This window comes from Homo sapiens, chromosome 10, assembly GCF_000001405.40.
Source record: "Homo sapiens chromosome 10, GRCh38.p14 Primary Assembly".
NCBI classification, from domain to species: domain Eukaryota; kingdom Metazoa; phylum Chordata; class Mammalia; order Primates; family Hominidae; genus Homo; species Homo sapiens.
In genome coordinates this window covers 122,278,896-122,305,026 of record NC_000010.11, presented here as the reverse complement: position 1 = coordinate 122,305,026, position 26,131 = coordinate 122,278,896, and the positions used below count along the sequence as shown (strand labels likewise).

General features: G+C 48.3%; 1 protein-coding gene across 7 annotated transcripts in view, besides 2 other annotated features; it reads right to left on the bottom strand.

The window, feature by feature from the left end:
* Positions 1-26,131, bottom strand: part of BTBD16 (BTB domain containing 16) — a 66,864-nt gene that overhangs the window by 33,133 nt on the left and 7,600 nt on the right. For 3 of the 7 annotated variants that reach the window (NM_001318189.3, XM_011539239.3, NM_144587.5), the window contains exons 4-9: positions 21,103-21,176; positions 18,779-18,922; positions 15,029-15,118; positions 13,833-13,947; positions 7,190-7,259; positions 5,893-6,023 (exon numbers count right to left, since the gene is read on the bottom strand). In NM_001318189.3, the coding sequence (NP_001305118.1) occupies positions 5,893-6,023; positions 7,190-7,259; positions 13,833-13,947; positions 15,029-15,118; positions 18,779-18,922; positions 21,103-21,176 (624 nt within the window). The remainder of the gene's footprint in view (positions 1-5,892; positions 6,024-7,189; positions 7,260-13,832; positions 13,948-15,028; positions 15,119-18,778; positions 18,923-21,102; positions 21,177-26,131) is intronic. The other 4 variants (XM_011539241.3, XM_011539242.3, XM_011539240.3 and 1 more) reach the window with 3 other exon arrangements.
* Positions 10,538-11,528: an enhancer, noted in NCBI's record as "H3K4me1 hESC enhancer chr10:124053014-124054004 (GRCh37/hg19 assembly coordinates)". NCBI's record gives its function as "activates a minimal SCP1, AML or CMV promoter by ChIP-STARR-seq in primed H9 embryonic stem cells {active_cell/tissue: H9 hESC(primed)}" and the evidence as "EXISTENCE:reporter gene assay evidence [ECO:0000049][PMID:30033119]".
* Positions 13,441-13,941: an enhancer, noted in NCBI's record as "H3K4me1 hESC enhancer chr10:124050601-124051101 (GRCh37/hg19 assembly coordinates)". NCBI's record gives its function as "activates a minimal SCP1, AML or CMV promoter by ChIP-STARR-seq in naive H9 embryonic stem cells {active_cell/tissue: H9 hESC(naive)}" and the evidence as "EXISTENCE:reporter gene assay evidence [ECO:0000049][PMID:30033119]".

Below are 26,131 nucleotides of genomic sequence, written 5' to 3'. Positions count from 1 at the left end.
ACTGCATACATACAAAGTGCTTAGTACAGTGCCTGGCACATCATGACATGCTCAGCGGATGGAAGCTCTTATGGATATGTGGCAGGGTCAGGTCCTAGCTCCAGAGCCTGTGCAGTACCTGCTGCAGCATGAGGCCTCTCCTCCATAAATGAGCATTGCCAAAGAATAGCTGCTGGCCAGGCGCAGTGGCTCACACCTGTAATCCCAGCACTTTGGGAGGCCGAGGCGGGCAGATCACGAGGTCAGGAGATCAAGACCATCTTGGCTAACATGATGAAACCCCGTCTCTACTAAAAATACAAAAAATTATCCGGGCATGGTGGCAGGCGCCTGAGTCCCAGCTACTCAGGAGGCTGAGGCAGGAGAATGGCGTGAACCTGGGAGGCAGAGCTTGCAGTGAGCAGAGATCACGCCACTGCACTCCAGCCTGGGCGACATAGGGAGACTCTGTCTCAAAAAAAAAAAAAAAAAAAAAAGAATACCTGCTACCCCGTAATGTCAGCTCTGTAAGTGTGGCTATCTCCCAACCCCCTTCTCTAGTAGCCTCTGATGGTTATCTATGGAGCCATTTCAACATTTCTTAAACCCGTTGACATTTTCAGTCTCTGACCATGGACATTGCACCCTGGCCTTAAAATACATCACCGCTTCCACATTCAACCACTCTATGTGGTTATGGTGGGTGGCACCAAAGACAAACCGTGACTCTAAAGGACAATGAAAATGTCACCCACCTCTCATGCTATTTCTGAACAGAGTAAAACTGTCTCTTTCCTCTCCTTTGGTTTTCAGGCCACCTACAAATGCATGGACTTTGACTCTGGCCAGACAGGACCAAGTTTGTCACCATCTGGCAATCATCGTGAGGCCGGAAGGGGAGACTCTCCTCAGAGCACTTGGTATGATGTCCCTGTGAAGAACTTTGTCAGCTGGGCTGGCGAAGTGGTGTGATTTCCAGTGTAGACTCCACACCTGAGGTCCTCAAGCCCAGAAGGCCCTTTGAGGTCTCACTAAAGAGGGGCTAGCAGCAACATGGGGGAGTCCTTGGGAGCTCCACGAATCAGAATCCTGGTTCTATTATTTATGAAGCATAATTATTAAAGTAAATTCCTCTGTCTTTAGGTCAATATCAGACCTGAAAGTATTCGTTTGTGCAACAGATAACCACACCAAAGACATTCACACACCTTTTCATTTACCTAAGAGCTCTGATGGCCTCAATCAAGACAGAACCCACAGGGACTTGAACCTCCCTCTATGGGCTGTACCATGTGTGTTTACTGGCACTCGCTAGCAGCCATTGGAATGTAAATGGTAATTGTTCTTTAGGGGAAAAAAATGCTTTTCATAAGACACTGTCCTCTATTTTTCACTGAGAAAATTATATATAAACAATAAAAGTCCTCTTTCGTATGTAGACCATAGAGAAAGCCATGACCATGTGAGTAAGATATGAACAAGGATGCCCACTGCTCCATCGCTTGTCACAGCAAACAAACAAAACAAAACAAAACAAAAGGCCATTAGGAAGGGAGTGAAAAGAGATCGTTGTGCATTCATTCAATAGAACCCTTTACAATTAAAATTTTAAATGCTCATTAGATATGCAAATATCAACATGGAGAGAACACAACACACGATGTAAGTGAATAAGTTGCAGAACGTTACAATCACGATGAGAACATGTATTTCAAGTTTAAATCTTTTAAAGCAATATTATTCATGTGGTAAGAGTAAAATTACATAGATTAAATCTGCACAAGTTCCTAACAGTGGTTTAATTGTCTTTAGGAGGGGAAGGAGGCAGAAATGAGGAAGGGAATGGGACTGGGAGGGAAACATAGGCGACTTCTGCTTCATTGGAAATGTTTGATTTCTCAATTTAAGACAAAATATTAATATTCGTTCATTTGGGGAGATGAGTACAATTGTGTTTTGTATTATAATTCTACCTTTATACTTTTTTTTCAGAAACTACAAGGAGATATACTTTTTTTAACAGTAAAAATATTAATATTCCTATTGTTCTTGACCATCAATAAGGAAAAAGAAGGCCTCATGCAGAGCACGTCAGTGAGCTGGTAATGACCACAGGCTTTAGGCCACTCAGACGTGGGTTCAAATCCCAACTCTCATGTTGCATGAGGAGACCTTCAGCTGATCCCGTCATTTCCTATCATCTCTATTCCACAGGCAAGAAACACCAACAGTATCCATCTCATTAGGTTGCTATAGGAATCAGTCTGGGTAACTCACTCAGAATATTCTCTATACAACAACAACTGTATATAGCTGAATAATTGGTGGGTATTGTTAGTGTTAGCTAAAAAAGCATTGGATTCAGGAACTATTATATTTGAGATGGGTGCCCAGGGGTGTCCCAGACACCCATAGGAACCTTGTCCCATGCTGGAGGGCAAAGCCATGGGACAGATGCAACAAGGAGGACATGCATAGCTCTTCTTAGGGAATTCCTGAGACCTCGAGACTTCTCGGGTTATAGGCGGGAAGTCAGGGAGAATTGGAGACACAGGGATACAGTGCCCCTGGTCGCAAGGTAGTCTTTTGTTGAGATGGGAGCTAGACAGTGCTCTGAGGTCTCCATCCTCCTAAGTCCATGAGCAGCTTGGCTTCCAGAAAAACAGAACTTGGAATGAAAGCTTCTTAATATTAGAGTTAGCAGAACAGTGTAACCCAACAGTGACCTATAAGAAGAAAATTAACTGGAAACCAAATGCCAGGCAAATAAATTTAGACTGGAGGCCCAGGAGGTCAGGAAAACTGTTGCATATTTTACCCCAGGTGGTTTACAAAATGGAAAGCAAAAGCTGAAGGAAGATGAGCTCGAGGGACTTCAGATGGAGACGGCTGAATGGCCCAGAAGCTGCAGCATCTGCTGAGAAATGGACGTTGTTCCAAACACATGTGACCACAAACAGGGAATTGGCCCCACAGCTGGAGGGGCTGATAAGTCAAGCCAAGGGCCACTCCACCCCTGACCTTGGAGTCTGCATTTCCACACATCCCACTCCGGGGCCACGTGACTCCTTGGGACCACTCGGTTCTCACTATGTCCTTTTAGTTGCTGGTAGCCTTGGCCTCCATGACCAACGACGAGGGGTGCAGCACACAGGGCAAGACGTGGACTTTGGAGCCAGTGGAGGCCCTGCCCTGCCCATCGTTAGCCCTCTTATATCAGGGATAATAACTGTGACCACCACGTGGGGTGGTGGGGATAGAAAGGGAGAGTGCACATAGCACACAGCACACACCAAAATGTTAGTTGGAGAAAGGTGCATTCTGAAACAGCTGTGGGTCATGGTGCCAAATCCACCGGCCAGCAGCCTGAAACTCACAAGCACCCTAATATGAGAAGCCCTAGCCAGTGAAACTTCTAACAAGCCCCCCTCTTCCTGAACCGTTTCCCACCTCCCTCAAGCTTTAACAAAGGCAGCCACTGGAGATCAACCTCAGAAGATGTGGGCAGAGCCTGGGGAGTGGTCAGCGTGGGCACATGGCTGATGACATGCCTGAAGCCACACAGGGCTCTTTTCCCTTCAGTGATAGCCCTGGACTGTCTGTGCAGACAGCTCCTGGGGAGGGGCCGGAGGAGCAGGACCCATTTTCCACATCAGTCATGTCTGCCAAGCTGATGAGTCTAGACACTTGACACGTAATGCTCTTGACCTCTTTTTCTGCCCAGCATACGTTTGTCAGGCTTATCCCACCGCTAACCTTCCGGTTGTGGTCAGACATTTTTTTCTCCTTTCTTGGTTAATGCTGCCAGGGTGTGACAGCTCAGCCTTTCCAAGGGAGGGACAATGTTATGAAAAGTCTAAGGGATGCCATGTTTATCTTTTCCTCAACAATTGCGCAACCTTTGCTCCGCTGGGGAGTGGGGGAGCACCTGAGTGGGGAAAAGCAGAGAACACCACGGAATGACTTTAGGAGTGAGCCAGTGCCCTGGGCTGGCATGAGGCTGGGACTCCTGGAGGCTTCCTAGAGAATATGGTCTCCTTCCCTCTGTCCCAGAACTCTGTTCTACCTGCCTCCCATCTCTGTAAACGTGAGGGCATTGCATGCTACATAGCCAATTCACATCAACAGTAGAATAAATCTTTCCAAATCTAATTTCTGAAATCAGAACACTTTCCACACATACACATGAGTAAACCCTCATTTTCTAATATTCTACTAGGATTTTCAGCATAATTTAGTTTTCACTTTTGAAATTTACTCAGAGGTAATAAAATTTTGGTAACTTGGAAATGGGTACCAAGATCCTTTTAAATAGAGTCCTAAAGAGATATGACAACTAAGTGGTCCTAAACAGCACTGAAGAAAGAAAAAATGCTATAAAAGGCAGTATTGGGCAAATGACATTAAAGTATTACATCAATGTAAATTTCTTAAAGTTGATAACTGCACTATAGTTATATTTTTCAAAAATTCTTTTTCTTAGGAAATAAACACTGAAGCATGTGGAGTAAAGGAACTTAATAAACGCAAATTACTCCCTAATATTAATAGTTCAGAAAAAACAAGTGTATATGTAGATACACGTAGAGACGCAGATGATATAGCAAGCAGGGCAGAAATTGAACTCTAGGGTGATTGGCAGTACTGGGTGTAACTATATATTTTATGCATTATTGTGTATATATTCTATGCAAATATTCTTTGCATAGAATATATATTCTATGCATTATTGCATATATTCTATGCATTATATATTGTATATATTCTATGCATTATTCTTGCAACGTTAAATTTGAAATTATTTTCAAATAAAAATGTTTAAGAGACTAACACAAAATAGAAAGTTCTTTTGACTTAGTAACTTCATTTCTAGGAATTTAATGTGGGAAAGAATCTGAGATGAAGACAAATGTTGAAGGATGTTCACCAGTGTGCTATTTATATTGGTAAAACATTAGAAATAACCTAAAAAGCCCGGCATTGGGAAACATCTCCATGAATTTCTGTAAGGGAGAAGGAGCCTGGCAGGGGACAGGCATTTCAGGTAGGAGGATGGGCATGAACCAAGGCCCGGTATGGGGAGGTGTTCATCAGGGAAGTTTCAGGGGGGGCCCCGTGGCTGCACTTATGCTGTGTGAGTTGAAGGAGCCAGGTCACCAGAGGCAAAGGCTGTTGGCTAGAGATGCGATTAGAAGGGGGTCCAGACCAGAAGCAAGACAGTTAGAGGTCACCTTGGTCCAAAATAAGAGACATTGGACCTCCGATCTTGGGCTGGGGCTGCTACCCATGGAGCGAGGCCCATAGCGCTGGACTTGATTTGGAAGTAGAAATGACCTCAGGGTTGGGGTATGGTCAAAGTGGCGTCCAGGACTATCAAGGGTCTAGCTTGATCCGCTAGTCAGATGGTGGAGGAACACTGGGGGCAGGGTTGGGGTGCAGGACAGGGCAGGGGCACCGAGAGATGGCTTTTAATCTTAATTGTCAGAGAGGTCAAGCAGGCGATCAGATACGTGGGTGTAGAGTTATTCAGCAGAGGTGCCAGCGCCGGAGATGTAAGCTGATTTAGGGTGAGAGATTTCATTTTCTAAAATGAATGTGCATTGATGTTGTCAGGATTTTTTCTAAAAATTACTTAGGTAATTAAGTCTTTCATTTTTCGCACCCAGGTGAAAATACCTGAGACAGCAGGTACTCAGAGGGTTCCTACCCACAAGAAGGAGCGAGAAGGGAGCCCTCTCCCCAGCCCCACACACAGCACCCTGAGTTCCAGCCCCAGCCAAGGCTCAGCTGTCCAGGAGGGCAGGAAGCTTAAGGTGGGGGTGCAGCCTCCATCAGAGCACCTCCCTCCCCAGCCTGGCCCCTACTTTCTCCCATCCCCCTCTCAGGGGCCGCACCCTGGGAGCCAGCTCTGACCTGGGGGACTTCAGCACTTTGTGGAGCAGGTCCTGTGGGATTTTGTGGAGGTGGATCTGCGTCCCCCCTAGAGGAACCAAGTTCATTTCCAGCCACTTCTCGCAGCCGGTGGTGAGCTGCTCTTCCTTGTACTAAGACAAAAAAAAGCCAGTTGATGAAGGAAGTCCTGAGCTCTTGGCACCCTCTGCTGGCCTGAGACGACACTACACGTGTGCTCAGAGGGAGAGTCACTGCAGAGGCGCTCAAACCTTTTCTACAAAATACATGAATTACAGCAGATACCTTTTCTAAGTGTTTTCTATGCTCGAGGCGCTGCACTCAGTTGATTTAAATCAATCCTCAGCGAAAACCTATGAGGTGGGTTCACTGTTATCCCTAGGTCACCGGTGGGGAAACTGACGCTCCCAGGTTCCTGCTCTTGCCTGTCGTCACACAACTCGTAAGTGGCAGAGCCGGATGCAAACCCAGGCAACCTGACCATAGGCTTTGCCCACTAGTTCAAGTCAGTGGCTGATCATGGAGGGCCCAAGGGGTGTACCTCGCAGGAGTTCTGAGGCTATGAACACACCCAAAAAGCAGGAATTGAAGGGCAGAGAAAGTGGAAAAGGCGTCTTAGAGCCAGGGACCTTGAGAGAGCTTCAGTACACCTCGAATAGCTTCTGGGCCTGGGGTCCTTCTGCAGCCCAAGCATTGCTGAGAAATGCTGACCAGGATGCAGTTTCCACCACAAGTGGCCTTGGAATTACCAGTGGGGCGAAGGGGAGGACGCGATGATGGGAGAACTGTGGCATGCTGCTTGGTATCCCCCCCCAGGTCACTGGTGGCCATACAGAGAGAGCTGAAGTCAGGAGGCCTGGGCTTTGGACCCAGCTGGTTCCCCTGGGCAGGCTGCTGCCCTCCTTGGCTCTGTTTTCTCCTCTGAGAATGAGGTTGGATTCTATCATTTATTCCTAACCCTGACACACTGATTAGACCCAGGTGAATCTAGACCTCACAACTCCAGCAAGAATGTTCTGGAAGGTCTTCGGCTGTTTCGGTGAGAAAGGCTATGCTGCTTCTTCCCCCATCTAAGATTAAAGTCTTTCTATTTTTTTGGTGTTAAAACATCCTTTAAAAAAATAAAATGATGGTTTAAAAAAAAAAACACACAAATGTGTTCATGTGGCAAAATAAAATATTTGATGACTTCAAATAGATATTCTGGGGGGAAGTAGGCCTGGTGGGTAAAATCCCAGCATCTAGGCTGCTCCTGAAGGCCCCCCCAAGGGGCGATGTGCCCCGTCTGGGTTGTTCTCACCTTGCAGCCGGCCTCGTAGAATTTCTTGATGGTGCTTGGCTTGAGTCTGGCTATCATCACATCCACGCACCTGGAGAGAGAGAACTGCAGTTTCTGGAGGAACCCCACACTGCTTTTGGAGAAGCGGAAAGTCCCAGAGATTCTCATTCAACTCCAGGACAGCAGCAGACTTTTGAACGGAAGGGAGCCTCGCTTTAGGGGTATGGACATTTGGCCAGAGGACAAGACCAACATGGCTTGTTAGAAATAGCTCTGGGCTGGGAGATGAGGCCAGAAATCAAATCCTTCAGGAGAAAACAAAGTAACCCTATAGCAGGGAACAAGGATTATTGCTCAAAGCTGAAGTGCCACCAGGTGCTGAGATGAGGTTTGATTTTAGCCAACATAGCCATCTGGTCATCCCCCTGCCTGAGGACTGTCTTCCTGTACAGACCCTTATGGTGCCACCAGAGGGGCCTCAAGTCCCATTCCTCTCTGTGCACAAATGGAATCAAAGAGCAGCTCTCAGATGAAGGTCTCTGCGAGCTCATGACTAGGACCTGTTGATTTGGCTCACCCACCCATGAAGGATCTATTCATTGAACACATACCGTGTGCTAGGCACCTGGAGAGGTCCTTGGTGTGCAAAGAACAAAACTGATGGGCCAGTGAGGTGACATGTTAAGTCAACTTTCAGACAGATAACCACATTTGGCAGTCATGTTAAGGGTTAAAAAGTTAAAGAACAAGGTGTGATGGGAAGGCAGATGATGGAGACTTCAGCCTAGTGTGGTTAAATCAGAAAAGTGACCAGAAGTCAGAAGAGAGGCACTTAAAACCTGAAAGAGGAGGAAAAAGAACAGGCCAGGCCAGGGATTCAAAGACCAGCATTCCAAGAAGCGGAAACAGCATGTGCAAAGGCCCTGGGGCAGGAGCAGGTGCCACACTTTGAAGGAATGTCAGGGCTGGCACAGCTGCAGTGCCGTTGTTTAACACTGCTCCACACTGTCCCCTCTCTCTCCCTCTTTGACTATTGTAGTTCGTCTGGGCTCAGCTCCAGCATCACCTCCTCTTGGAAGTCTCCCTGATTGCTCCTCTCCACATAATCCCTTAGCTTTGATTTGCATGACTTCCTTCTACCTGGTTCCTTGCCTCCCTCCAAGGAGGGCATGAGCCGAGGTGAATGGAGTGTGGTAGACGTGCTATGTGGCAGGTAGGGTCACAGATGTTTCAGTGACTGAACTTTCACAGCTAATACTAACCTCTCTGCAGCAAAATTGCTTTGAAGTATGTTCACTTCATTGAGCAGGGCACCCGAGAGTAGCCACTGGGATCTCATACGGAAGCACAACCTTAAACTCATTATGACTCAATGGTTGTCCTAAACTCAGTTGATATACACACCGCTCATGGGCAGAGGCTTAAAGGACATCCAGTACCTCTTGCACTTATTCTAAAATGTATCCTTCCATAAGGCCAGACCAGAAGGCAGATGGGGTCTTGTTACCACCAACAACCACATCCCTGGAGAGTAGCTTTTACTGAGTTGCATTTTGGTGTGCCGCTTTTGCCAAAACCAAGAAAAAAACATTATAAGATTTATTATTGCATTTACTCTACAGACATTCTTGAGGACATTGACCATTAGGTTGCTTGGGGTCATCTGCTGAAGACATCCACAGTTTTCATACTAATAGTAGTTGTACTTCTCCCAAGTGAATTGTTTTTTAAACTGTTATCTAGTTTGCATCGAATATCACTGATCAAGTTTCCCTTTTTATCTGCCGCTAGCAAGTTCAGAGCTGAATGTATGGCCTATCTTAGGAAAAAAGTGTGGTTATTAGAGTTAGTATACAATGGTAGCTTCTCCATCTTTTTCTTCCTCCTTAAAAAAAAGAAAATTGGTGTTCTGTGGCTTCATTTCATGTATTCATGGAAGCCACTCAAAGCCTTTACTAGAACAAGGTAAGAAATGATAAGTGAATAAATAATCTGGTCATGGCCAAGGCACTCTACCCCCTTGTGTGCTAGGATCGGCCCTTCAGACAGGGAGACTGACTCTACCCATTAGAAGGAGTTGTCTTGAGTACTGGGGAAACCTGTACTGAGTAAACATGAGGCGCTGCTGTCATCCCCTGGGCATTTTGCCTTCTAAGACTGCTGAGTCCTGTCAATCCTGCATCTTGGCTGTCTCTTGAGCGTGCCCCTCCTCCCGCTCCCACTTCCCCTGCCTAGTTCAGACCCTCCTGGTCTCTCGGCTGAGCCTCTGCATAGCCTCTCAACAGCCAGCCTCCCTGCCCTGCAGCCTCCCACATTTATACCACATCCTTCACACAGGAGGGGCTCAGCCTAAACCACAGAGGCTCTGCCACTCTCCCCTCCCAAGCCCAGGCTTCCTGCTCTGCTGACTGAACCAAGACCTGCTCATGTGGCTACAAGATCCTGCATAACCTGGGCTCATCCAAACCTCTGGCCATTGCAGCTGCATTGGGTCTTAGTGGCCAGGCTTATCCCAGTTTGATGCTGCTCCACCCTGTCCCCTCTTTCTCCCCCTTTGACTGCTGTAATTCTTCCAGGCTCAGGTCCAGCACCACCTCCTCTTGGAAGTCACCCTGATTGCTCCTCCCCACATACTGCCTTAGTTTTGATTTCCATGCCTTCCTTCTTCTACCTGGTTCCTTACCTCCCTCCACCTCCCATGAAACAACAGACTGCCGGGAAGCAGCGCTCCCCATACAAATCCATCCTGAGTGCCAGCTCTGTGCTGACCTGTGCTGCTGGTTCTGGAAATGCCACCAGGGACAGGTGGAGGCCTTTTCGTCCTGGAGCTCATGGCCTCACCGGTCAGCAGAGGGTGAAGCCCAAGCTGTGACGAGGCTGAACAGGAGGCTCGGGCCCCACCCTCATCGGGTCCAGGAGCCTTTAGGTGCCAGCTTTTGTCTGTCGAAACCTACAGGGAGCACTAGCTGGGCTTGGAGTTGCAGGGGAGAAATGAGTGCCCCAGGAGGCTGGCACCTTCTCTTATGCTTCCCCTTCCTCACTGTGAAACCCATTGGCTGGGCTGGACTGGAATGATCAGACTTCCCAGACCAAAGGAAGCAAAGAAAGCCATCCGGGCTCGCCTCTGGGCTCAGGGAAGTGGGGGGTTTCCTCTTCTGGAAATTCTAAAGGACCAGGAAGTTGCCCACAGAGGAAGTTCAGCCCTGCATGGAGGCAAGGAAATGCCCCTCTGGCCCTGTGAGCCTGGAGGAACCCAAGTGACAACCAGGGAGATGCTCCATGTGTATGTGTGTGAGCGTGTGTGTGCATACACATGCATGCACATATGTGCTGGTACACGCATGTGACAGCCACAATCCCTGCTGTGACTCCAGCCCAAGTGCCAATAAAGATATTGACATGAGAGTCAAAGGAACATCACCCAGTGGAAGCTGTGTGCACACACACTGCATCTCTTCAAGATGGGAGGCCTCAGGTATGTGTGATTCAGAATTAAGCTGTCATCTGGCAATTTCCCACTGCCTGGGAGCTCAGCTGAGATAACCTGTGAGGTCTCACTCAGCACCTGAACGTTGTGATGCTATCAGAGTGACCTGGGGCACTTCCGTTACACAGACACACAAACACACATGTATCCTATGATGCCACACCCTGCCAACTGCGCCATCAGCCTCTCAAAGGCAGGCAAGACCCAGCCCAACTATGTGCAGGCCCGCCCTGGCCTCTGACCTAGAATCCCAGCCCCACCACAATTATCTGGAGAATCTTGGGCAGGTCCCATCAGCTTCAGGCAAGCCTATGTTTGCTCATCAGTGGAATGAAAGGTTTGGCTCATTAGCTGCAAAGCCCCTCCTGCTCTGGCATTCAAAACAAGGTGGGGGGAGGGGAAAGGAGGATGAAGAAGCTGCCCTTCTTGGTTCATCTCTGGATAAGCCAGGGCGAGAGTTCTGAAGGTTAAATGCGGCTTCCAGTCTGCTCCTAAGGTAGGGCAGCTGAGGCTTGGAGACAGAAGGTGGCCAGAGGCCCCACTTCAAGATGGAAGCTACCCTGCCAGCATTCAGGTCAGAGATAACTTCCTGGACTGCACCAGGAAATAGCTGCTCAGAAATACTCTGTCGAAAGGAGCTATGATTTCATAGTTATACATCACAAGGCTATGCTGGGCTGACAGTGGGTGATATATACAACGGAAGGGACACGGGAATCTCAGGAAAACCTGGACTTTTCACCCCACGACCTTCAGGGTCAAGGCCAGATTCCTTAGATGGTTCTAAGACGCTACACCAGTTGGCTCTGCCTGCAACTATTCATCTCCCATCTACCACGGCCACCTAACCCCACAGTCTGACCATGCTGACACACTGGAGTGCTTCTTCAAGACTCCAGGCCCTCTTCAATGTGTGTCCCCTGCAGAGAGGTCCAGACACCTGCGTTCCCAACGAGGCTGCCACATGCTCCAGATCAAAGGCCTGGACCTAGTCATTTCATGAGTCCCCAGAATGAGGCACCAGCTCAAAAACATCCATGGGGTTGAATCTGACTGTGTGAACTCTACAAAAAATGAATTGAAACCTGTAAGATCCCCAGGAGATATCTGTCTCTCCCCTCTGCAGAGCAGCTAATGTCTTCTCTTGGCTTGGATGGTATATTCATTCATTCCTTCATTCAGTCAGATAATGAGCCTGAGGTTTAAGAAGTAAACAAAACAGGCAGACCACCTCCTGCCCTGATCTCTTCTTTATACTGAATTGCATCAGGAATTAGGGAAAAAAAGCTACAAGATACCACCTCTCTCTTCAGGACATCAATGCAGTAGGCACACATCCCTCAAAAAGCCCAGGAGATGAAACAAAATATTCTAGAGAAATGAATCCCATGAATGATTTTCCACTTGGTTCACTTACTCTTTCATAAGCATTAATGGAATGAAGGAATATTACAGGACACACAAAAAAGGGAGGAGAAATTCTAAGAAATGCTCTTTCTTATTATAGATACTAATTTTGCTTGAACTTAATAATACATAGCACAACATTTTCCAGTTAGGAATTCCCAAACTTCATTCCATCCACCTTTATTCACTTCTGGTGTCATGGAGACTGTTGGACAGGAGACTTTAGAGGGCAGGGATCCTGCCCATCTGGTCCCTCACTGTCTCCTTGGCCTCCCAGAGGAGCCTAAGAAGTTGTCCTTGAGGCAGATGAATGAATGAGTGTAGGTGTGAGTGAATAAACCAACAAGTGAGTGACCCTAAGCAAACCTCTCCTGACTAAATGCCATTGAAGGGAGGGTCAGAACCACAAATTAGCAAGTGACAACATTACCACCTCACCCAAGCGAAGTGGAATAGTACAGTGTTAGAGGTCCAGGCTCTGGGGCCCCCTGACCTACGAGTCCTGGCTTCTCTACTTGGCAGCTGCGTGGCCTTGGCCAAGTTACTTACTTCCCAAAGCCCCAGTCTTCTCATCTGTAAAATGAGCATAGTAATAGTTCTACCTCCTAGGGTTGCAGGGAAGATGAAATGAGGTCATCCCTGCAAGGGGCTGAGAACTGAAAGGCAAACACTCCATCCTAAAGCCCTATGTGCTGACATCCCCTAATCCCCAACAAAGTCCTGGGAAGTAGATGGGACAAATGTTATAAGCCACATTTTATGTCAGAGACTGCCAGTGTACATAGAGACTAAGGGGCACCTTATTGTAGAACTGAGCACAGACCCTGCACGGACCCAGGTTACTTTTGACTTTGCAGGAAAAGCCCAGTGCAAACTGGGAGCTCTGAGTCTCACCCCTCCAGGGTGTGTTTCCTCGGCTGCTTGGATGCAGGTGGAAACACCAAGCAATGTCTGTTACCCCCTCATGCTCATGATTTCTGCATCCATGAGCCCAGGCAACCCTCGTCAGGATGAGGAAGCTTTCACATTCAATGCCAACCCACTTTGAATGCCTCCTGGTTCCCCACCACCTCCTCCCCACACCCCCAACACACCCTGATGAACCCTCCCGATGGGCAGCCCAGGTGGGCCAGCGGGGTCTGAATGTCCAAAAGAGAGGCTATGCCTAAAATGGGCAGGGGGATTTGAGGGCAATTTTAACTTTGATCTTTGCATTTTCCTCTCTTCCAAAAGACCTACAATGACTGTATGTAACATTTATAACAATAAAAATATTATTTACAAGAAAAAACAAGACTTTATCTCAAATGAGCAGGAAAATGTAGGCCCAACAGTGATGGAAAAGTCAGCTTGTCCTCCAATGGCCAGCTTCTGTGTGTGTGTATGACTTAAAGGAGAGAGATTTTTTTTTTCTTTTAGCCAACAATGAGAAGAGGTGAAATTGATAAGCAAGCCTGGTTTGGGGGCTACTAGGAAGTCACTGTGTATACACATGAAGTCTCTCCCAGTGGTAGAAATCCTCCCATTTGCATTTCATTCCTGTGAGTCGAGAATCGTTTGGTTAAAACTAGCGTGTTGCTGGAGAGATGGCTCACCTGTTAGTGTGAATTAGTGTCTCAGTTCCTTTCCAGGCTCAAGGCCATGCTTGGCACAAAGACACCTGAGGTGTCTTAGCCCAATGAAGAGGAATGTTCCAGCAAATGGGCCAGGAATTGCCCTTCCGATTTCCCCCAGGCCCGGCCCTGCCCAAAGTCAGCCTTGTTTCCTTACCTTTGAAACAGGCCACTGAACTGGAGGATGTGGGCGGAAGCCAGCACTCCCAGTAGGTCTTCCAAGTTAATCTCCACCTCACTCATGTAGAGGTTCTTCAGGGCCGTGGCGAAGGCTGGGGAGGCACAGCCAAGCGAGCCATCTGTGTGGGGCTCTGCACACAGGACACCACCCAGCGCCCTCCCTCACTCCTGCAGCTGGGCAGGCAGAGGTGCCCTTAGAGAAAATGCGCCACCTCTCACCTGGATGCAGGCACCGCCCAGAAGCTGACGATCTGTGCTACCAGCCTTCCCAAAGGAGTTGAGGCTGAAGCTAAAGAAAGCTGAGCTTCTGCTGAAAGGATCCTCCTTTAAGCCTGTTCTCAGGGGTGAGACCATCCTGGGTTCTCCCCTAACCTGGGGTCTGTGGCCTGCGCAGGAATGTGACTGCCCATATAGGTGTAGAATTTTGTGTGCACGTCGTGTATTTTTTTTTTCTGGAGACAACATATATCTTACAGCAGATTCTCCTTGGAGTCTGGGGACTTCCAAAAAGGTTAAAGACTCTTGGAAAGAGCCAGAATAATTTGATGGTTCAGGAGCTGAACTGCCTTGGCTAGGGGCCAGATGGACTTAGCTGATTCACCGTCAGAGTGTCCTCTGGCGACAAATGGCCCAACGAGTGCTGAAGTTTCCTCACCGAGCGATTCCTAAACAAGTGCCATCACATGACATCACGGATGTTGCACAAGCAAAGAAGTCTGCCCATGAGTGGCTGTGAGGGGATGGGGAGAGAGTGAGCCCAAGTTGGGGGAGGTAAGGGGTGGTCCTTGGCAGGAAGAGGCCGGTAAAGTGTTATTTGGGAGCAAGGCTGGGCCTGATGGCTTCCCTGGGTGGGTGTGAGCCTAAAGCAGCAATTCCTTTTGTGCTTGGTCCGTCTCTGAGAAGCCGCTGTCTTCTCCCGGTCTCTGCATCCTTCACACCCTTTCTCAATGACAAGAACCTCTCTTTAGTAGCATTCCACCTTCTTCCATTTCCCCAAGTCACCCTAGCCTTCTCGCCCCTTCTTTCTTTGCACGTTCGGGCCTTTTTAATAAGAAAGCACTGAACACTGTCTACTGTTGGTTTGTTTTGCTTTGTTGTTGCTTGTGCATTTTTAAATCTGGGAGGACCATTTGTTCAATGGCATTCTCAGAATATAGACGGGTATATACATACCGACTTTAGTGACCAGTGGGTCATTGATCTTCAAGGAAATGATGATCCTCTTTGCAGGGGATTTTTCTTTGGTCTTCTTAGGTGATTGAGCTAGTAAAGGAAATGAGATGATGATGGCAGGATGTGATAACCGTGGTGAAGACACAGTGGGAGGCACCCACCACCCTGGCATGACCATGAGGTATCAAGATATGTATCACACTATATTTTATTTGTTTCATAGATGTAATTAATTAATTAATTAATTAATTTTTGTGTGTGAGATGGAGTTTCACTCTTGTCGCCCAGGCTAGAATGCAGTGGCACTGTCTAGGCTCACTGCAACCTCTGCCTTCTGGGTTCAAGCTATTCTCCTGCCTCAGCCTCCCAAGTAGCTGGGATTATAGGCATGCTCCACCATGCCTGGCTAGTTTTACATTTTTAGTAGAAATGGAGTTTCACCATGTTGGCCAGGCTGGTCTCGAACTCCTGACCTCAGGTGATCTGCCAGCCTCAGCCTCCCAAAGTGCTGGGATTACAAATGTGAACCACCGCGCCCGGCCTATAGACGCATTTTTAAATACTTATTTACTTTGAAATAGTTTAAGACTCATAAGAAGTTGCAAAAAGAGTGCAGAGTTCCCACGTATCCCTCGCCTAACTTCCCCCAACGATCCTACATAGCCCTGTGCATGGTCAAAACCGAGAAACTGATGCTCACACTGCATTTTACATATTTATGACCTCCCCCATCCTTTCTCTTATTAGGCTTTGAGCAGTTTAAGGGCAGACTGAACCTCAGTCATTTCTGTAACCCGAGCACCTGGAGCAGTGCAGGCAGGCAGTGGGAGTGCCACCTGCTGCAGGGTGAACATGGGACTGAGGTGTCCCTGTGGTGGCTATTGTCACTCTGCCCCAGAGAGCTCCACTCTGGGGACCCCTGCCACCAAGGATTTCCAGGAGGAAGGGAAAAGGTAGCCCAATTCATTGCTAGCCAATGCCATCCACTCAGTCATCCTCGAATGTGAGCTACAGAGTGGCACTGCTCTCAGGTCTCCAGAGGTGCCCCACACCCTTGGCACAAAAGCCAAGGCCCCACTAGCAGCCCCAATTCCCACATGGCCTGCAACCCCTGCCCACCGCTCTGCCCATCATGCCCCCACCTAGCCCCTCACCGGCATGCTCCTCGGGATGGTGTGGGGCTTCCGCCCTCCCTTCCTCATCGGGGGTCTTCTCACATGTCCCTCCCCCCGAGAGGGCTTTCCTGACCCCAAATGTAAGGTAGCACCCCACTCCCCTGCTAACTGATTTTATTCTTCTTCAGAGACTAATTTGACCACGACCTTCTATTTACTACTCTGTGTCCCTGTTGTGCTTTTCCCCCAAGCAGCTCAGCTGAGGTGGTTCACTTGCCGCTCCACCCACTGGGCCCATCCCAGGCTCACACACACTGGTGCTAGTAAATATCAGCTGAATGAACGCAGCACATGGATTCCATCACCAGGGAGCTCAAGGTTCCAGATAATGAAAAATGATGTGAGCCAGAGCCAAAAAGCCCATCATCCTGTGCAACTATAAAGAAAGAGAGAGCAAAGGATCCTTTCCCCTCCATCTCCCCTCGCTGTCATCCGTCACCTGGCTCTGTGCTGGCTCTCACTGAGTAAATACTCACTGAGAACCTACTAAGCACCAGGCTTGTTCCACTCTGGGTCACATTCTTCTCCAGTATGACTACACGGCCTCCCATCTGCTCACGCCAGCCTGCCATCCACCCCGTGGCAGGGAGTAAATGGGAGGATGCATGTGAGTGCCTGGCACACAGTAGGCATGCAGGAGGTGGCAGTTAATATTACAATGTGTCACAATATTTGTCATGCTTTCCCAGCATTTTGGGCTTGTCTGTCCCCTCAGATGGTAAGCTCCTAGCACAATGCCTGGCATAAGCTAAGCATTCCACATAGGAAGGAAGGAAGAAAAGAAGGAAGAGAGGGAGGGAGGGAGGGAATCAGTTATGTCAGAGTAAGTGAAAGATAGGAATTCAGTATTCCCTCCAGGTTGAGTAAAACCCCAAAATTGGATAAGATATCAATAATTTGTTCATACTCTTCCCCAAAGTTCTCCAAAGCCAAGGTGGTTAGTTTGTTTTTAGTAAGTGGGCCACTTCCTCCTTGGATTCCACGCTAGAGAATAAACACGTCCTCTCCAGGACAGCTGCTCCTCCAGTCTCCATGGAAGGAAATCAAGCAGCTGGAGAGCCTGTGCATCTCTGCAGAGTCCAGCAATCCAGGGTCTGGCCAGAAGTTCCAGGATAGCAACACAGATGATATTGAGAACATGAAAGTGATAACCGTGAGACAGGTATGCAAACCACCATTGTGAGATATTTTCGCTTTTAAAGGCACATGAAGGACTGTGACTGTTCCTATTGAAAGACGTGAATCCCATGGCTTGATCGGTCCATGGAACTTGCGAGGAGACCCTGGAGTTGTGACAGTCCAGGGCACTGGGATTTCATCTCTGCACCTTCCCTCTTGTCTCTCAGCCAGGCGTAGCCTCTAGCAGGGAGGCTTGGATCAGAGTGGCTGTCTTAGCAGGGCTAAATGTTTTCATTTTAGGGACCCATTCTAGACATGTTAAAGACCGTAACGTTAATGACTCCATTTCCACTTCCAAATTCTCCTGCTTTTCCATGAACTCACTGTCTGGCTCACCAGAGCCTTTCACTGATGGCCTGATGAATGTTTTGACTTGGGTACAGGGGAGATGGAAGAGCCCAGTCTGGCCCTTGAAGACACTGGGACAAAGGCTTCAGAAGAGCACAGAGGCTCATGAGCCAGCACCAAGCTTGTTGCAGTTCTGCAGGAGCCCAGCTGGCTCTCACTGCCTGCACAGCGGGGAAGGGCTGAGTCAGATTCCCGCAGGCAGTGGGGCTCTCCCTCCAGGCTCAGGCTCAGGGAGGGGGAGTGACTGGGGGCTCCGGCTGCCTGTCTGGCTCTAGAATAACAGGGCTTTGCTGTCATGTCTTGGAAATAGAAAGTCCGTCATGACTGGTATGCTGGCTGGCTTTGGGGGCCTCGAATTTTCCGTGGCACCTGCTTATGAGTCAGCCCGAGGGGATGCCAACCTGTAGCCCAAAGCAGCAGCTGGCAGTGCAGATGGAGACGACTTAGAGACCAGGTGAGAGGAGGCTGGGGTGGTCAGGACTGGAAAAGGAGACAAAGAAAGAAGTGGCCTACATTCTTTCTGGAATAAGGTGGAAGAGAGACGAGAAGAGAAGAGGAAAGAAAAGCAAAGACAACAACAAAATAGATGCACACATGTGGGCCTCAAACCAGCATACTTAGGGCCAAACAAGCCACAGATATCAGAATTCCACCTTCCTTCCAGAAAGCTCTTCAGAAAATTCCACATAGCCTATTTTTTCTTTTCAAAGAAGTAGGTAGAGTCTCTATGTCTGGGCTGGCCAGACAAGACTCGGGTTATTACAAAGATAATAACTGGCATGTACTGAGAGCTTGCTGTGTGCCAGGCCTTGTTCTAGAACCTCACACCTAGTACCTCCTCTACTCTTCAAAGCCGCATCCTAAGAACTATTATCCCCATTTTACACTTGAGGAAACTGAGGCTGTCATGGGATGAGATAACACTGTGGAGCCTTACTCTTGACTGCTAGAGTGACCGTGGTCTCAAAACAGATAACCATGTTCCAAGCTGGGACCGTCAAGCTAGAGGGCACTGGGGCTCCAGCACTGGGTGCCAGGGAGGAAGTACCTCGCAGAAGCTCCTCCAGCTCCCTCAGGGGGTGTGTGGTGCCCTGCGCCAGGGCTTTCAGGTAGAGCTTGGCCAAGGTCTCAGACTGAAAAAGCTGGGGCTGATGGAGCTCCCATTTGAAGCCCAGGCACTCGAGAATCACATCTGAGGACAGAAAATGATGCTGAGCAAACACATCAGTAACGTCCCCACCCAAAGATGCATCAGCTTCCTCTCCCCCAGCTCCTTTGCTCGGTGGATCATTAAGCACATGAAGCAGGCAAGCAGCCTCCCCAGGCATCTCAGAAAGGAAGCAGTGAAGTGTGGGCCTCGGGGGCTTAGTGGCTTTGAGGGGGACACCAAACCAGTCTTACAGGGTCACCCAGGACATGTCACGTGTCCAGGACAGCTGTCGGCTAACAGCTGTAGGACTTCAGAGGCACTTGTGCTGCCCTCCAATGTGGGGAATGAGGAAAAGCTTCATGGAACGAGGACATTGTCTGGGGCACTCTTGGGGGGCCTCATTCTGGCTTCCCCTATGACAGTGTTTCTCAGCCCCGGCACTGTAAACATTTTGGGCCAGATACGTGCCTGTTGGGGTGCTGTCCCGTGCACTGTGGATCCCCAGTAGCAGCCCTGGCATCTACCTACTACATGCCAGTAGCACTCCCTCCCCAGCGGTGACAACCAAAAATCTTTCCAGACATTGCCAAGTGTCCGCAATGAAGCCAAATCACCCCCCAGTTCCCTGTTGAGAACTACTGGGCTATGAATACAAAGCATGACCCATCTGAAAGGCAATAGCAGGCCCACCAACGAGGGTAGGATTCTCATGACCCTCTTTGACAATATAAAGAAGGCTCTTTGCAAACTGTAGAAGACTTTCTTCAGGGGCATCTAACCTGAGGATAAAATCAGTGATCACTAAAAGAAGAGGCTTTTTGATAGAGGAGGGCAGATGGCGAAACCAAGGATGCCAGGCCAGGTGAGGCTCAAGAGGCCATGGGGAGAGGACTCTGCATGGCTCAGCTCCTGTGTTGTTAGTACAGAGCTGGGGGGAGGAGAGGTGCCTAGAACCCTCAATCTGAGTGCCAGACAGGACCTGAAGGGTCACTAGCCCCATCTACGTATTTCTTGATTTTGCCATTAGTTTCACGGTGTGACCTTGGGTACCTGATTCTTCTTCCTGCTATTATTATTGTTATTCACCCATGTTATGATATTGTTTAGTGCTGGGGTTCCGGGGGGTTTGCATCTCAAATATTACATTGCCTTAGGTGGTCTGGTTATGCTGAGTTAGAAAAAGTCTCAGCCCATCAGGGTGATTATAGGCAGGAGCGGAATTGTGGATACAGCATATTCACTCACTGGATGTCAATTTCCACTTTCAGGATGGCCAATGCATGGCAGCCATCACTAATCAATCCAGAGCTCTTTCTCTCATGCCAGGAGATGGTCTCAGACTACTTCTCCTGTTCAGAGTTGAAGGAGAGAAAAGAATTTATTAGCCTTTCTTTGGAAAGGAGTCTGGCTCTGATCTCAGGCAGTCACACCATGCAGTAGGCTTTATCCAAAAAAAAAAAAAAAAAAAAAAAATCCACTTTAAGAAGCTGCCTCCTCATGAGGCTCAATGAACCTTTTTCTAGCAAAAAAGGACCTATCCTGATTCTTGATCCTGCCTCAGAAAAGTCCTCTTGAACAAGTGCAGCTGTGAACGTCCAAGTCATGACTGGTTAGAGCCCAAAGAGACAAAGAACAGCTGCTTTATGCTTGCTGCACTCTGTTTAGTCTTTCAATACAAAGACTACTTTTTTTTTTTTTGAGATGGAGTCTTGCTCTGTCACCCAGGCTGGAGTGCAGTGGTGCAGTCTTGGCTCACTGCAACCTCCTCCTCCTGGGTTCAAGTGATTCTCCTGCGTCAGCCTCCTGAGTAGCTGGGATTACATGTGCATGCCACTACAACTAGCTAGTTTTTGTATTTTTAGTAGAGACGGGGTTTCACCATGTTGGCGAGGCTGGTCTTGAACTCCTGACCTCAAGTGATTCACTCGCCTGGGCCTTCCTGCTGGGATTACAGGTGTGGGCTATTTATTGACATCAACACATTTGTCTTTATCATGGCGAGGAGCATATGAAAATGTGTTTACCAAGCTTGACTTCACTCACTGCACATTTGACAAATATTTACCGGGCACCTATTATTTCTTAGACGCTGGGAAGTGGATGAGAATTGCAACTTATACACTAGCGCCCTGGTTTATGGACTGGTCTCCTTCCATAAAGACCACAAGATGCCCCTGAAATCAGCAACATTCTGGCTTAATCCATGGATAACACAAACTCACCTGCTTCCCCACTTTGGATGTCCTTGTTCTTGAAATTCTCAAAGAAAAACTTCTGGATTTGTGAAATGCATAACCTCAAGGGAAAATGCAAATATAAAATCCAGGAGTTAATACTGACATTTTTCTCCAACTACAACATGCATTATTCTAGCATAAATGTCCTTAAAGCACCCATTGATCAAGCTAATCATATCTCGCCCTTTGGAAGAGTTTCCTCAGGTCACCATTTGCCGATCTGAAAAACTGTAGGCTTTCTGATAGCTGGCTCATAATGTGATTGCTGTGTTCAGTTTGTGGGTAGGCCTTACCGAGGAGATATTTCAGGCCATAATTGGCTGCCTGAATGACACCTTATTCAGTGTCTAAAACATTATCTAGCATATAGTAGACACTCAGTAAATATCTGCTGGGAGAAAAGAATAGAGGGTTCTGCTCATTTCTGGGATGTGAACTCACCAACATTTTTCTTTAGAGGTCATACAGGTCCCATTCTCAGTGTGTCCAAAAACTAAACCTAGCATCTACCCCAAATCCTACCCTGCTCACTCGGATTCTCATTTCAGGAAATGGCACCACCAGCCTGCAGTTGCCCAAGCCAGCATGCTGAGTGTTGTTACATCTCATCACTTGCCTAGATCTTTCGAATTTGTCCATCTCTCTTTGCTGTTCTTGCTATAGCCTTCGTCTAAGCCCCTGTGATCTCCCTCCAGTCACTGCCAAAGTCTCCCAGCCTCCGGCCCTGCTCTGCTCGGAGGCCTGCCTCCCACAAAATGCAAATTTGGTCTTGTCTCTCTCCTGCTGAGAATCCTCCAGTGTTTCCCCATTGCTCTTGGGGGAAAGCCCAAACTCCTTAGCACGGCTAACCAGCTCCTGCATATTTCTGCAGCCTGGTCCCTCAACGGTCCCCACTCCAGCCCTTCTCAGCAGCCTGCACCTGGACCTGCCAACTGCTGCTTTCATCTCTTGCATGCACTGCTCCCTCTCCCAAATGCTCTCCTCCTCGCCTTTCCCCTTGCTAAGCTCCTACTCATTCTTCAGAATAAACTTCATTGCCGCTTTCTCTGGGGATGCTGGGCCAGTGGCTTTACCCCTGCCCGTCCTGGGATTTTCCCCTTAAAACTCCTTCTGGAGTGTCTTGTGGCTGCCTGTTTACTTGTGTATCCTCTGCAAGACAGATACGGCATGTGTTTACTGCTATGACCCTGGCACAAGCCATCATGCAGGTGCTCAGCAATATTCATTAATGAATCCATGACCACATAGATAAACACCATGGACTCATCGTGTTAAGCCAGGAAGTGAAACAAAATTTGAGTCACATATTCGCAGCTTAAAGACAGTCATCCCAGAAAGCCAGCCAGCCAAGAGACATTTGTGACCACAGCTGCTCTGTGTCATGCAGTGTCAACTTCACCACGCTGTCTCCAACAATCCCAGGAGACCCCATGGGTCAGGGTGCATGCAGGAAGCATGGGTGGGAGCCCGTGTCCAGAATATTGCCAACTACGTGCTGCCCTTTCCAAGGGGGGAGGATGGCTGCCAATGACTCAGCCTAAGGCAGGCAGTGGGAGCTGGACTTGCTTATTCAACAGGAGCAGTGGAGATCTGACCCAAGCCACCCTCGCTTCCTCCCTCGATCCCCCTCGTGGCTTGGGTGACACGTCTGGAAAGAGCTGGCCAGAGTCAAGAGTTCAGACCGTGATCCCAAAATGGAGCCACAGACTTTGGAAAATATGGCGCAAGGTCCATGAACTCAACTACTCTCACAAACATCAGTGTCATCGGCTGAGCCAAGGGATGCCGGGAAACAGAGGTGAGCACACTGCCTTCTCCTGGGTGTGAGGGCTGCTTGTCAAGATATACCATTCGTCATGTAGGCTCTGCTGTTCCCAAGGGCTGTGGTTCATTTTAGGATCACTGGAAAAGTGAACGGAACACATGGCATCTGTGAGTTGTCTCACTGTTTGGGACTCAGTGGTCCCATTGCAATGCTTGGTGCGGGGATGCTGGGAACGTGCTGTTAGGCTGGAGCTCACGCCCCCAAGTCATGACCATGATGGAGAAAGGCAGAAGGGGAAGAAGAGGAAGTAAGTTTCTCATGGACATACGGACTTCCTGGAGCAAACTATCCAAAGGGCAAAATGCCAATTTGATTAACTAGGAAGAGTTACATAGACCTGGGGCTGGACCCCAGTCCTTCCATTTTCTGCTTCTTGGTCCCAGAGGAAGGGAGGAGTGAAAGAGTGAATGTTTGGAATAACTTGCAAGGACATGCCTTCAGTTAGCATTCTCTCTTTCATTGTCTCTGTGAAAGGTATCAACATAAAAATGGAGTTATGATGTGTTAAATACCCTGATGGAGCCTGGCATGGTATCATGCTCCTATAGTCCCAGCTACATGCAAGGGTGAGGGAGGAGGACCGCTTTAGCCCAGGAGTTTGAGGCTGCAGTGAGCTGTGATCATGCCTGTGAATAGCCATTGCCTTCTAGCCTGGGCAACTGCGCGAGACCTCATCTCTAAATCTCTTTAAAAAAACAAAACAAAAAAATCCACCCAACAAATAGAGGTGGGGAAGGCCAGGAAGGGAGAGTTCTCACACATGAATGCCTGATAATAAGAACTATCACAAAAGACTCTGCAAAACCTACAGCCACACACAAAGGCCATCACAACCTCACACACAAAAAAAGTACTGCGAGGACATCTGCCTTGCAACTCAAACTGGTGTCGCCCTTGTTATGGATCCTTGTAGCCAGGGATAATTATCTCAGAGCAATGATGTAATCCTCCTCACTTTTCCTTTAAAAACCTTTGTCTTGCCAGGCACGGTGGCTCATGCCTGTAATCCCAATACTTTGGGAGGCTGAGGCAGGAGCATCACTTGAGCCCGGGAGTTTGAGACCAGCCTGGGCAACATAGAGAGACCCCATCTCTACAAAACATTAAATAAAAAATTCAGCATGTGGTGGCCATGTCTGTGGTCCCAGCTACTTGGGAGGCTGAAGCGGGAGGATCAATTGAGTCTGGGAGGCTGAGGCTGCAGTGAGCTGTGATTGCACTACTACACTCCAGCCTGGACAACAAAGCAAGACTTGTTTCAAAACAAAACAAAAAAACCTTTGTTTTCCTTTACATCCCTGAATATACACGTAGTTTACAGTGGCACTGGTATTGCATTGCAATGCCTGTTCCAGAATAAACATCAGCCTCTTTTAGAGAGTCTTCCTCTCCTCTCTGTTTGTTATTTAGGTTAACGTGGGTCATTGTTCTCTAGTCCCACTATCCCAGAACTACTCTCTGGTTAAAAATAAATAAAATAAAATAATATAATATAATACAATATAATATAATATAATATAATATAAAAATATAGGGGTCCCTTCTTCCCATTCTTACCTCTTAAGCATGACCTCCTCCCACCCTTGAATGGACTTGGCATTGCGGGCAGAAAGGGAGAAAACCACTAGGCAGCCTCACCAGCTGGGGACAAGGAGGGCTCTGGGTCTTTCCTAGGGCCACAACCCCCTGAGCCTTCGTGGGGGTGCCCCCTCCCCAGTCTGGCCTGAGACACACCTCCCGTGCTGGATCTCTGGGTTTCCATGACAGCACGCATCCATACACGCCTGTGGACCCCAGGGACATGCTTGACACATGTGCATTGAGCGTATATGTGCCAGACACTTTTCTAAGCTCCTTACATGAATCATGTCATATAATTCTCACACAACCCTGTAAGACAGTATCCGTGATTTGCACATAAACTAAGGCACAAAAAGATTAGAGTACTCGCAAGGAAGTTAACATTTCCTCCTCTCAGCCTCCTCTCCCACACTCGGTGCCCCAGAGCCTGCAAAAGGACCAAGGTAAGACGATCAGCAGCCTGAAGATCAGCACCTCTGAGTGGCTGACCAGGAACTCCCTGCGTCATGAAAACCCAGACACGGCAGAAGGAAGTGTTGGCCAGCTGGGCACAATTACATACCCGAAATAGACGAGAAGCTGGGAGCCTGTTCCCTCAGCTTTCCATCATGAATGACCCTTTCCGTAACTCAAGAAATAGACTGGTCCAGCTCCTGTCCAAGCAGACAGCACCCCCAGGTGGGAAAAGCAGCAATGACACCATCCATGACATGAACACAGCTTGCCAGGTGGGGCAGAAACAGCCATGTAGTGCTTTGGGGGATATAACGTATGTTGCATGGGGCATTCCAGGCCCTTACTGACAGTGGAGTTTGCCACCTGAGAGTTGCCTGATGCCTGAAGGTTCACAAGAATTACCAGGAATAAGCCCTTCATGTTATACACACCCTTTATTCTTTCTAAGAAGTTACTCACAATCACATGGAACAAATTCCTATTGTGAACACAAAGAAAAGATGTGTGTGTGTGTGTGTGTGTGTGTGTGTGTGTGTTTCTCTTTCTCTGTCTCTTTTTTATTTTTAGAGACAAATCTCCCTCTGTCTCCCAGGCTGGAGTGAAACGGCACAATCATAGGTCACTGCATGCAGCCTCAATCTCCTTGGCTCAAGTGATCCTCCCACCTCAGTCTCCCAAGCAGCTGGTACTACAGGTTCAAGCCAGCATACCTGGCTAATTTTAAAATTTTTTGTAAAGACAGGGTCTCACCATGTTGCCCCATGCTGGTCTCAAATTCCTAGCCTCAAGCAATCCTCCCACCTAGACCTCCCAAAGCACTAGGATGACAAGTATGAGCCACCATGCCCAGACAAGTTTGTGTTTATTACAGAACATCAGTTTCTCCCATACTCAGTAGACTGCACCAGTGACTTCAATTCTTCATCCCTCCCTCTGTCCAAACCTTTTGCCTCCATACTGCAAAGTTTCTCTCCATAAGGAGACGGAGTGTGTTTTCTGTCCCTTGACTGGGAGTTTGGCCACGTGACTTGCCTCAGTTCATGGGGCCTAGTGAATGTGAAATGGTGGAAGATTTGAAAGACACATGAGCTCCTGGGCTTACCCTCATGCCCTCTGCTGTCACCATGATAAGCATGTGCCCAGGCTAGCCCA